Below are 13,363 nucleotides of genomic sequence, written 5' to 3'. Positions count from 1 at the left end.
TCCCAAAATATATATTCATAGCATCCTTTGTGTCCTTGAAGAGTAAGGTAGGTGCAGCAATCAGTGAGCTTTTTAATTGGTTAAAAATCACTGTAAGAAGAAATTATTTTCTTTTTATAGAAGCCCAACTTTAGACTTTTTATCATCATTAGTTAGGTGCCCTGTTAATTTTAGGTGTGTTTTCCTACGTCTTCAGTAGAGAAACAGAATCAGAACAAACAACTTAAAAGAAAATGGCTTAGGAAAAGAAGTGGGATAACTGAACTAAAGGCCTAACATACAGAGCTTTAAGTGGGAGGTAAATAGGCAGTCTGTTGAAGATGAAATAGATATGCTGCCCATGGAAGTCCATGACCTTCGGTATAATTGGCAACTGGAAATGCCTTGGTTCATTTCTAGCTATATTACATACTGATTTTAATTCTGACCAACTGCTTCAATGTATTGGTGAATTTTAATTGTATTTAAAAGCCAAAGTAAGGCCAGGTGCAGTGGCTCATGTCTGTAATCCTGACACTTTGGGAGGTTGAGGCGGGAAGATCACTTGAGCCCAGGGGTTCAAGACCAGTCTGGGCAACATAGTGAGACCCCATCGCTACAAAAAATACAAAAATTAGCGGGGCGTGGTGGTGCGTGCCTGTAGTCCTAGCTACTCGGGAGACTTCGGTGAGAGGATTGCTTGAACCCAGGAGGTCAAGGCTGCAGGGAGCTATGATCATGCCTTTGCACTCCAGCCTGGGCAACAGAGAGACCCCGTCTCCAAACAGCAACAACAACAAAATCCAGAGTAGTCACTCAGGTTCCTTATGAGCATATACTGTACTGTAACACTTATATGTTATATAATTGCCACGAGCTGTTATCGATATCTTTAGCTTCTATATGAAGGACCCTGTTTTAATTAATTTCAATTTTATGTTTGTCATAAAGGATACAGAAGAGAACATAAAATATCTTTCTTTCACAATACTTTTAGTCCAGTTAGAGACTTAATGTTCTTCTTGAGTCCCACATGTGTATTTGTCTCTTTTCCTTCCTGTGGGAAAACCTGCGCAATTTTGAACCACTATTTACGTTTTTTACTTTTATTGCACTTTATAGCTAACTGCCAGATTTTAAGCTCCTTGGGGATAAGGTTGCATGTTGTAGATTATCAAATACATATATATATATATATATATATATATATATATATATATATTTTTTTTTTTTTTTTTCTTTTTTTGAGACAGAGTCTCCCTCTGTTGCCCAGGCTGGAGTGCAGTGGCGTGATCTCGGCTCACTGCAAGCTCCGCCTCCCGGGTTCACACCATTCTCCTGCCTCAGCCTCCCGAGTACAAATACTTATATATTTTTTGTATTGTTGTGACTAAACTTCTTGATAGCTTTGTAAATGTTGACAAGTACATTTTGTTTTGTTTTCAAGGCCAGTTGTGCCTGATACCTTGAGCTTTGCCCTTTTTTGTCCCTTTAGCATTTGACAACTTTATTGGCTTCCTCTGATATGCAAGTGGTGCTGGCAGTCCTCAATCTCCTATATGTATTTAGCAAAAGATCAAACTACATCACTCGTCTGGGATCTGACAAGAGGACCCCGCTGCTAACTCGGCTACAACATTTGGCAGAGGTGAGTCTTGGGTGAAGAGTTGGAGGGGTGCAAAAATTGGAGCATATGGTTCCTTTCAACAGGTGTTTCTTGGAGTGTTAAAATATATTAGAATCCCTAAGTTAACTTCACTGGCCTAATTGAGTTAGAACTATTGGTGCCCTGTTTTAAAACCTAAGTATTCTCAGTTATTAAGTAATTTTGAAGGAATTCTTTAATCTCTGCTCACCAAACAAAATCTCTCTGTTCAAAAGTGGCAATTTCACTTCTGAAAGGAAAGTTCAAAATTAGATTCAATTCTGTGTGAGAAGGAAGTATAATGCAATAATAAGATCTAGATTTGAGTCCTGGCCCTGCTTACTAGCGCCGACACTGGTTTCCTCTTCTGGGAATTTAACATATCTACTTCAGGGTTGATTTAGAATGAAATGAATTGTGGGGTACTCAGTGCTGTGATCAGTAAGTCGTAGTGATTGTAATTGAAGCCAGAAGCTCTCATATAAAAGTTCAGCTCTACCAAACTATTGTCCAGTGTTCCCAGAGGCAACTTCTTAATACATACTTAGCTTTGAGAGGTAACCCACTGTTGGAAAGCTTTCTTAGAAGAAAAGTGTTATGGCTGGCTTTTTAAAAGCATATTTAATGCTTACCTCAAAGTAACTCAAGTTTTCAGGCTAATTCAGGTGCCATGATTACTTATAAATTAGTTTTGTATAATTATAAATATAACATGTATTCTGAAAATTCTAGGAAAATGTAGACAAAATGTCAATCACCTATAATTCATCCCTATGAGACCTCCCTTAAAGTTGGAGCATTTTTTTCTTGCATTTGGAAACACATGTATACATGCATGTGACCTGTTTTCTTAAGATACTGTAAATATTTCCTCTTACTATTAAAAACCACAAGGAGGTTTAACATTGGATTCCCAAGTCCACAGTTAAAAGGAAAAAGGAACTATTACTCAATAGATGCTTCCAAAGCACTCGATAAAATTTATCTCATTAACAAAAGCTTCATATAAACTTTAAGAAAACTAGAGTTACCTACCAGAAGTCATAATGGGGGAGCTGAGGCATTTCCATTGGATTCAAAAGTCACACAAAAATGTCAGACATTAACTTCTGTCATTTACATTTGTAGTACAGATGCTAACCAACAGAAAAGAAAGAAGCGAAGAATACATATTAAAAGAAAAAATTTGGGCTGGGCATGATGGCTTATGCCTGTTATTACTGGCACTTGGGGAGGCTGAGGCAGGCAAATCGCTTGAGCCCAGGAGTTTGAGACCAGCCTGGGCAACATGGCGAAATCCCGTCTCTGCAAAAAGTACAAAAATCCGCCAGGTGTGGTGGCACACCCCTGTGGTCCCAGTTACTTGGGAGGCTGAGGTAAGAGGATCACTTGAGCCTGGGAGGTGAAGGCTGCAATGAGCCAGGATCGTGCTACTGCATTCTAGCCTGGGCAACAGAGTGAGACCGAGACTCTGTCTCTAAAAAAGAAAAGAGAATATTTGTTACTATTTGTATGTAGGTGATGAGTCTCTTTGTTTCTTGGGGAGATAATGTAAAATTATTATAACTAGTAAAAGCACAGTGAGGTAGCCAAGAGATCAATATACAGAAACAGATAGCTCTTCCATGTATTAATAGCAACCAATTAGAAAATGATTGGTGAGGCCAGGCGTGGTGGCTCACGCCTGTAATCCCAACACTTTGGGGGGCCGAGGCAGGCAGATCACCTGAGGTCAGGAGTTTGAGACCAGCCCGGCCAACATGGTGAAACCCCATCTCTACTAAAACAATACAAAAATTAGCTGGACGTGGTGGTGGGCACTTGTAATCCTAGCTACTCAGGACGGTAAGGCAGGAGAATCGCTTGAACCCGGGAGGCGGAAGCTGCAGTGAGCCTAGATTGTGCCACTGCATTCCAGGCTGTGTGACAAGAGCAAGACTCTATCTCAAAAAAAAAAAGAAAATGATTGGTGAAAAGACCCCATTCACAGTATAAGCAAATATTCTGTCTGTAAAATAAGTCATATTGGCTAAAACTGTAAATTTAAGAGCAGTTAATGTAGGAGGTTGTGTTGTAATAACAATGGTGGGGAAAGAATTCTTAAAATCCCCATGGCATAAACCTGAAAGTAAAATTTTGAATATTGTATTTAAAAATATACTTCCCAACAAAAAACACATAGCTCCAGGCTACTCCTTAGGCCCTTACACTAGAATATAAATCAACACACTGCTTCCTTCATCAAGAAAAATGTCAGTTGTACTAAATAGTATAGTTACCAATGTAGTTAAATAACATTCTGGTACAACCTCATTTTGTCATGGACCAATAAAACTTGCAAACAATTGGTGTAATAGCAAGCAGCTGGTCTGCATACAAAATTAGGCAGCACTTTGTACAACAGAAGTTAACAGACCCATGGTAGATTAAAAATGTTTAACAGTGTTTTAAAACTGAAAAGGGACTGCTAATGTAGAATATCCAAGGAACTCTTCCAGATCAACAAGGATGAGCAAAGGATATGGATAGGCAATTTATAGAACAGGAAATTCATGTGAGTAGATGCCCATACTCAGTAATTAGAGAAATAAAAATAAAACAAGGTACAGCTTTGTAAGCATCAGATTTGCAGAAATTAGAAAACTATATAATGGTAAGTCCTGGCAGGTATGTGAAGCAATGGGAACCCTCATACATTGTTCATAGGAGTGTAGACTGGTTCTCATGGGTATATATTTCAAAGGTGAGATCGCATCATTTCCATAAACGTGATCTCTGTCAGAGTATTGCATCATCATTTGTGGTAGTGAGGAGTTGGAAGCAACCTTGGTATCCATCATTAGTAGATACTCAAATAAGTAAAATGTGGCACATGCACACTATGGAGTATGTAGCAGTTAGAAACAGTGGACCAAATAATACAGCAACATTGATGGCTTCTAAACATAGTGGTTAGTGCATAAAAAAGTAAAAGCAACAGTTTTCATTGCTCAGTACCATTTCTGAAACTTAAAAAGATGTACACAATGCAACATATAGTTTCAAGAAAGAAAAATTAACAGACATCAAAAGTTATACCTTTGATAGAAGGGAATCTGAATGGGCAATAATGGGACAGATACATGAACAAGTACAGTAGTCTCCCCTTATCCGAGGTTTCGATTGCCATGGTTTCAGTTACTTGCAGTATAATACAATAAGATATATTAAGAGAGAAGCCACATTCACATAACTTGTATTATAGTATATATTAAACTTTATCATCAGTATGTATGTATAGGGAAAAAATGTGTGTGTGTGTGGGTGTATTATATAGGGTTTGCCACTACCTGTATTTTCGGGTATCCACTAGGGGTCTTGGAATGTATCCCTATGGATAAGGGAAAATAAATCTTACCAGCAGTATTTAAGATCTGTTAGACCAACACTAAACCTTTACTTACAGATTTAAAAGATGGTCTAAATAGAGACAAGTAACATTTTTTAAATGGGAAGACTTAATGTAGTAGAAGCCCTTTAATGAAATTAGGACCAATGATTGGTAGTTTAATTATTTTAAAAATCTTGTTAAAGCAGGAAATGTTTAAAAAGTGATTGATACATATGATTTTTTAAAAACTAAAATAATTCCCTTTCCCATCTTATGTGGGCCATAAGACTTAGTAAGAAGCAGTCTGTTTTCTGACATAAACTACAACTATAATCTGTGATTACTTTATGGTGTTGCACCGATTGAAGAAAAGGAGCCTGCATACAGGATTCTAAATTTTTTAGAGTTTACCCCTGAATCTCTTCATAATTTGACACTTTTTATTTTAGCATCTTGCCTTTTAGATGAATATTTTGCAAAATATTCGACTTAGTTTTTGTGAAATAATTCCCTTTCTCATTTAAATCAGTCAAATTGATTAAGTGGAAGTCTGTTAATAGCATCAACTGAGACACAGAAATAAATGAGAAAACACTGATAATGAATCAGGGTGAGTTGCTGTATCAGATAATATCATAAAGCTATAGTGGTTTTATTATAAAGCCAAGTTTTTATCATAAGGCTTTTTATGATTAAGCCAAGTCTTGCAGTTGGCACAGGAATAGACAATACATCTGCAAAATGAAAGAGTATACCTTATGTTGCTTAGAACAGTGGGACAGTAGGCTGTTTTGAGGGGAAAATGTGTTTAGAACTTTTCTTCACACTTGACATAAATCCTAGGAACGTATTTAGAGGTAAATACAGGTGACTTTTAAGATCTTTGATAAGAGTTTGCTAAGAAAGTTAACAGACCTAGAAGTCATTAAAAATACAGCTTTGATCATGTTAATTTGGTTATTTGTATAGGACCACAATAGCATCTGACAGAATTCACATCACCCTACTTTTAGGCTGATATAAACACACTAATATTTCATACTTTAATTAAATGTTCTGACAATTTAAGTAGAAGTTAAAATGCAAACTGTTTTTGGTATAAGTGGCTCACATATATAAAGTATCGGGTATGTTTCTTTGTTTTGTTTTTTAGGTAATTCAGATCCAGTTGTTGTTCTTCCTTTGGATGATTTTACCACAGAAAGGACTGCTTAAATGATTGCTTTTTTGTCCCTTTGCATTTTTGACACTTTTTACCTTTGAGAGGCTTGCTACTTTTTGCTCTGAATTGATCTAAAGAGATTGTAGATTGGAGGTTAATTTCTAGTCCTGGAGAATTTGGAATCTTGACAGGTGCAGTACATTGCAGCCTTTGGTAATAGATTGATGTGTTTGGTGCTTTGCAATAAAAGATTTTTACAGGTTTTTGAGGTTTAGAGATAATTAGGTATTTAGTAATGGTACCTCCAATACTAATATCCCTCATTAAAATTTAAAAATTTCATGTTTCTCTAAAATGTAAAATTTCTCTAAAAACTTGACTTGTTCATGTGGGCTTCTTTTATTTATGTATTTATTTTTTTTGAGACAGAGTCTCACTCCATTACCCAGGCTGGAGTGCAGTTGCACGATATCAGCTCACTGCATCCTCCGCTTCCCAGGCTCAATTGATCCTCCCACCTCAGCCTCCCTAGTAGCTGAGACTACAGGCATGCACCACCACACCCGGCTAATTTTTTATATTTTTTGTAGAGATGGGGTTTCACCATGTTGCCCATGCTGGTCTCCAACTCCTGAGCTCAGGCGATCCACTCGCCTTGGCCTCCCAAAGTGCTGGGATTACAGGCGTGAGCCACTGCCTGTCCTTGTGGGCTTCTTTAACAATGCTCATAGAAATCTTGGTTCATGTCTTTTCAGTCTTTTCAGGCAACTTCCTTTGCAACAAACACATTCACTTGCATGTGTATAAGAACCTGGATTTGGATGTGAAACCTACTTTTGCCAACAAATATTAACCTGTTTCTGTGTCTGTAAATTGGGGGTTACAATATCTACCTCATAGTTTTTTTAGGATCAGAGTAAAGGAAGTCATAAATAAAACCTGTAGGGTTAATGCCATCATGTTGGAAGTACTTAATAAACAGCTGTCATTTGTAGATGGATGTCAACCAGAGAAACTACATGCCATTCTTTTGTATTTGCTTTCTTTTAAAATGTTACACATGCATTATTTTATAAGTGCATGCATATTGTCACATGATTATTTTCAGTACAGCCTTTTCCCTCTTGGTTCACCTCCCCATAACCTCAAATGTATTCTTCTCTATATATTATCTTCATATTATATTGACTGTTGAGGGTGTTTTTGTCCTTCAGTTACAAATGCAGGATACCTTACATCCTTGTTTTCTTATTTCAGACCTTGTTCAAAAATCACTTTAAAGTCACCTGTATAACTATAGGGTTCTTTTGATGGCTGCATAGTATTCCATGCTTTGGATGTACCATATTTTACTCAAGTTCCCTATTGATGCATGCTTATATTTGTTATGAATGATGCTACATTAAGCAATCTTATATATGAATTTAGTTACTGATACATTTAATATGATATTATAAGAGATGATATGGAGATCATAAGATAGAGTCCCAGAAATCTCAGTGTGACTTTATTGGCACTTCACTGATCAGTAATGATTTTGAGCATCTTTATGCTTGGCCATTAGGATTTGTTCTTGTGAAAGGTTTTATCTTTTGTCCATTTTTCCATTTGGTTACTTTTTCCTACTCTGTAAAACCATATTGGAGATATTAGTCCTTTGTCATCTTAAAAGTATTTTTTCCCCTAATCTTCATGTATATTGTCTTTGTTTATTGTGTTTTGTATGTGATGTTTTCAAAAATGGTTCAGTCAATGCTTTTATATAAAAGATTGAATATCGTGTTTTGGTCTTTATGAAAAGTGACTTTGGATATGGTGTCTTTCCTCATAGTAGTTTTTAATGACTAGGTCAACCCAGTGATGTGGGCTAATTGTGAATGTGAACAGTGATTAGTTAACTACAGATGTAGGGAAAATTCTCCAGAAAGACTTGTTGAATCAGTTGAAAGCCAGTTGGCTGGCTTTTGTGAAGGTCTGGTATACTCTAGGTCTAGTAAACTTGAGGATGCATCAGAATCACTTTATTAAAAAATATATTAGTCTTCCTCACCTCCATCCCACCTAACTCCTGAGTTGCTGATTCATTAGGCTTGGAGTGGGCCTCAGAATTTGCATTGCTATAAAGTTCCCAGGTAATATTAATACTAACCTGCTGGTCCAGGGAGAACCACTGGCCTAGTCTATTTTATTAAGTTACAAACTTTTATCAAATTCTTATAATTCCATCTTAGAGAGCATCAAGCCTTTTTCCTGATGTCTGAATATTTAGCAAATCCTGTCTAGTGTGAGGTAGTGTTGTATATGCCTCTGTGGCATAATGAATATAGTTATTTATGGGTTATCTACTTAAGGGCTAGGATGTTACAGTAACACTACCAGATAGGTGAATACTGTGAGGCTCAGAAGTTACTTATGTATTTTTTTTTTGTTTTTTGTTTTTTTGAGACGGAGTCTCGCTCTGTCCCCCAGGCTGGAGTGCAGTGGCGCGATCTTGGCTCACTGCCAGCTCCACCTCCTGGGTTCATGCCATTCTCCTGTCTCAGCCTCCCAAGTAGCTGGGACTACAGGCGCCCGTCACCATGCCCGGCTAATTTTTTTGTATTTTTAGTGGAGATGGGGTTTCACCATTATTTTTGGACAAAGGCCCTGGGCTCTTTGCTTCTGCTAAAATGTGAAGAATAATATCTGTTCTTCCTGTCTTAGGCATTTGGGGATTCTTTGAGCATGGTCATGTTCGTTTTTTTAAATAAAAACAAGCTTACTTAGTACTTGAGAAAGCAAGATAAATAGATAATAAATTAATAATAATAAGGGCAAAGAACTAGTGTTATTCTGAATAGTACTGACTAAAAAGTACCCTAGAATCTTAACATTTAATATGTTGATTTTGTTGGCAGCGAAACAAACTTGTCTTCCTGATAAAAATAGGTGCTTGGTGTTTTATGTATGCAACAAAATTTATCATAATTGTGTATCTACTCATTTTGGTATATTTTCTTAGTCTTTATCTGATGAATATTTCTTCACAAGAAACATTTCTTTATATTTCATATAATGTTACTAGTTCATAAATATAACAACAGCACAGACTTTCGTGAGTCACGTTTGAGTTGGCAGGGTTTTTTAAGGATCTCAGCTTACCAAAACTTTCTAATTAAAGGTGCTTGTTTTTTATCAAGTTGCAAAAGTTGGCAAGAAGGATTTTGTGGTGACACTAATAAAAGTATTCTGAAACAATTAGTTGGAATAACAGAAGAAACAAAAGGAAAATAATTGTGTAGATACACAGCCTTTCAAGCTTATTCTGCCTTGCAGATTCAGACTTTTGGTTTGACTTACCTGTCTGTTCTCTGTAGCATCAAGCCTTTATACCCTCATCCTTACTTTATGGTTTTCAGCAAATTGCATGTGTCTTCGTCTTCACTAGATGTCCTGGGAAGAGCCAAGAAAATATTGAAAATGTAATGAAGTACTTATTAGGTATTAAACCATTTTATAAAGCTATAGTAATTTAAATAGTGTGGTAATTAAGAGTGGAATTGACCAATCAGTAGGTTCCAGAAGCAGATCCAATGTGTAAGAATCGAATTTATGGTTAAGATGGCATTTCAGATTAGCAGAAAAAGAATGGATTATTCAAATAAGATGGTGTTGTAAAAACTGGCTTACTCTTTGGGAGGCAATTAAGGTAGATTCTACCTCATCAAAGTAAAATTAAGATGTAATAAAAAGCTGAAATGTTAAAAACATGAAGTTATACAAGCATTGAAAGAAAGTATAACTGCATGGTTGTATGCTGCTTGAAGTGGCAAGATATTTTCAAGAATGAGACTAATGCCATGAAAGAAGAAATTGATTCCATTACAGTATGATTTTATACCTTCTGTCTGTGAATATTTTAGGTACTGTCAATTGTGCCATCTATGGTTATCTCAATTTACTTCACAGTTTTCTTCTTACTTAGGTAATTTCCAGTATTTTTCTGTGGTAAATAATGCTACAGTGAATATCTTTAATACGTGACTATTTGGCCATATTTAGCACCAGGTGTTTGTTACCTTTTTTGGGGTCTCACTCTGTTGCCCAGGCTGGAGTGCAGTGGTGCAATTTCAGCTCACTGCAACCTCTGCCTCCCGGGTTCAGGCCATCCTCCCACCTCAGCCTCCCTAGTAGCTGGGACCACAGGCATGCACCACATGCCTGGCTAATTTTGTATTTTTAGTAGAGACGGGGTTTCACCATGTTGGGCAAGCTGGTGTCGAACTCCTGACCTCAGGTGATCTGCCCGCCTCGGGCTCCCACTGGCTGAGTGCTGGGATTACAGGCATGAGCCACCGCACCTGGCCGTCTGTTAAACATCTTAATGAATGTCGAACCTTGTATTTTACAGATTCTTGTCTCATTGCCTTAAACTTCCCTAGTTGTTTTAAACTTCTGATTATTTTTTAGAGTTCTGATAGACTTGAATTCCGACAGTCAGTTTATTCACTGTTTTTGTGAAGGTGTGGGCTTATGGGGTTCCCCATTCTGCCATTTTCACTGACAGCATTCCTAGTAGAACAGTCTGTTTTTAACCAGCTGGGAGTGGGGGATATACATATCTGTGTCCAGGCAGACTTTCTCACTTAGGTTTTCACTAGAGAAGTAAGCCCTAATGCCCTAAGGTATCCATTATTAATGTAGCAAAGAGACTTCTCTCTTGTGCATCTAAGGTGGTGCTAGTTATGTACCATTATTTGGAGAATAAAATGATCATTCACCATGTTCTGTGTTTCATATATGATACCTGGATTGAGAAATGCTGCCAGTAGATCAAGTGTAGTTTGAGAAAGCTTATTTCTCACAGGATAGTCAGATGATGTTTTATTTATTCATTTATTTATTTACAGGTTTAGAAATAGCATTCTATAGTAGGTACCTTTGTGACTGGCATCTTCAGTGGTTTACACTGTTTGTTTTTGAGACTTCTTTGGCAAGTAGTGATATAATAGCATTTAACAAAGAGGAAACACTTAGATGTAGAGAGAGAGCCATGTTAGTTCATGGTGGCAGCCCAGATCCGAGGTGATTGGGACCCACACTAGACAGGAATAAAATGAAGACATAGAATATAAGTAGCATTTTGTGCTTCAATCATGCCAGACTTAAAAATATGATAATGCTTGGCTGGGCAAGGTGGCTCACAGCTGTAATCCCAGCACTTTGGGAGGCCAAGGCAGAAGGATCACTTGAGGCCAGGAATTTGAGACCAGCCTGGGCAACATGGCAAGGCTCCTACAAACATTTTTAAAATGTAGCCTGGCGTGGTGGCAGCATATGCCTGTAGTCCTAGCTGTGTGGCAGGCTGAGGCAGGAGGATCCTTTGACCCCAGGAATTTGAGGCTGTGGTGAGTTGTGATTGTGCCACTGCACTCCACTCCAGCCTAGGCAACAGAGGGAGACCTTGTCTATCTCTCACACTCTCTTCATATATAGCTACATATATATAATTTTTATTTTTATAAATTTTATATAAAATTTATATAATTTACATATTTATAATTTTTTAAAAATATACAAAATATCTTTTTATATGAAATGTTTTATATTTGTAATATAAAAATCTCTTCAGTTTGACATAACAAATTAATAAATTTGTTTCAAATAATATCTCATTTCTTTCACTTCGTCAATTGTTTGCCTGAACTATATGCCTTGCCCCATGAGGCAGGGAGATATATATTTTTTACATATATAAATACATATTTTATGTAATATATGTAAAATAATTATGAATGATTTAAAAATAAAAATACGTTAATGCTCTTAATGTTAAAGTGATATTTTAAAGGCTGTTAAGATGCAGGCTAGTTAGTAAGTGAGACTATGTGGCTGAAGTTTTGTATTTAGAAGCCAGTTGAGCCACTCCCCCCATTATCTCAGGAGCTTGTTGATGAGGTTTTAGATTTGAGTGGCAAAGTACAGTAGTAATAAATAAGGTAGAATCTGCTTTGTAACTCAGCTCATGTCAAAAAGAGAGGAACTGGAAAGCATGATTTCCTCCCTAGTGCTTTCCTCCCTAGTGCGGAAGGTGAGTAGGCAGAGCCTCAGGCAAGGCCTGATAGGACAGGAGGGACCTGTCAGCACACGTGACTACAGGGGTATGGAATATAATGGCTGGCAGTTGCTGCTTGAGTTCTTCCTAGGAGCATCCTCACTGAACAGTGAAATTGATCTCATTGAAGAAATCACCTTTAGGCAGACCATCTTGCCTTGATTCTTAAGTTCTTATTTCTGTTCGTTTTTTCCTCTTGTTTGACTTTCACATTGGATGTCTTCTCAACATTATGTTCCAAGCAGCCACACACTCTTAAATATATATATGTATGTGTATATACATAGAGAGAAAGAGAGATAAGGTCTCACTCTGTTGCCTAGGCTGGAGTGCAGTGGCGCAAAGTCACCATAAGCACTGTCTTAACACTATCTTTTTCCTTTTTCAAGAGCTGGGGTGGAAAGGAGAATGGCTTTGGACTTGCAGAATGTTGCAGAGACTTGCATATGATGGTAAGTAACTCTTTGGGATATGGGTGTCTTTTGACAGAGCTGTGGCCTCTCTGTGAACCTTACTTTACAATGAATTGTGGTATATGAAGTGACGCCTTCACATCGAGACCTTTGAGGAACCTAAGATCAGTTCAGACATAGCTGAACCACGTCTATAGGAAGCAGTCTAGCAGTGCTTGGGCTCTTGATGTGCTGGTGGTAGATAAAAAAATCTGAGAAATAGAGTGTGTGTTCATACCCAGTTCTTGAGTAGGTAGCTGTATTTGTTGAATTAATTTTAATGTGATTTTTTTTAAATCCCAGAAAGTATGTTCGCTTGCATTCTCACACTGGAACTATTGTATCAGAACTCTGGACAGTGTGGTGTGATTTAGGAATGGCTGCTTGGAGAGCAGTTCTACCATTAGGTTTATTGAGAACTTATAATGTTTTATGTGCTTTCCTTGTTTATCTCTCTGCCTTTCACCCATGTTTAAGTTATGAGCTCAGGCCATCCTCCTTTCTGCTTTGATATGTTGCTGTGGAGCTACAAAACACAATTTGATTTTCAATAATTATTTTGCATCTGGAAGCAACTATATTTTCCACGTGGGATTTGTCTTGTCAGTTTGTCGTGTTTAGCACAAATGGCTGCAGTGAAATTTAGTGTATTTATCTTAGC

General features: G+C 37.3%; 1 protein-coding gene across 50 annotated transcripts in view; it reads left to right on the top strand.

Moving 5' to 3' along the window:
* HUWE1 (HECT, UBA and WWE domain containing E3 ubiquitin protein ligase 1) overlaps window positions 1-13,363 on the top strand; it is a 154,624-nt gene that overhangs the window by 39,782 nt on the left and 101,479 nt on the right. For all 50 annotated transcript variants that reach the window (NM_001441048.1, NM_001441051.1, XM_047441751.1 and 47 more), the window contains 2 exons: window positions 1,475-1,627; window positions 12,640-12,702. In NM_001441048.1, the coding sequence (NP_001427977.1) occupies window positions 1,475-1,627; window positions 12,640-12,702 (216 nt within the window). The remainder of the gene's footprint in view (window positions 1-1,474; window positions 1,628-12,639; window positions 12,703-13,363) is intronic.

This window comes from Homo sapiens, chromosome X, assembly GCF_000001405.40.
Source record: "Homo sapiens chromosome X, GRCh38.p14 Primary Assembly".
In the NCBI taxonomy this organism is placed as follows: Eukaryota; Metazoa; Chordata; class Mammalia; order Primates; family Hominidae; genus Homo; species Homo sapiens.
The sequence above is the reverse complement of the archived record's forward strand: the minus strand, read 5'-3'. Positions and strand labels throughout refer to the sequence as shown.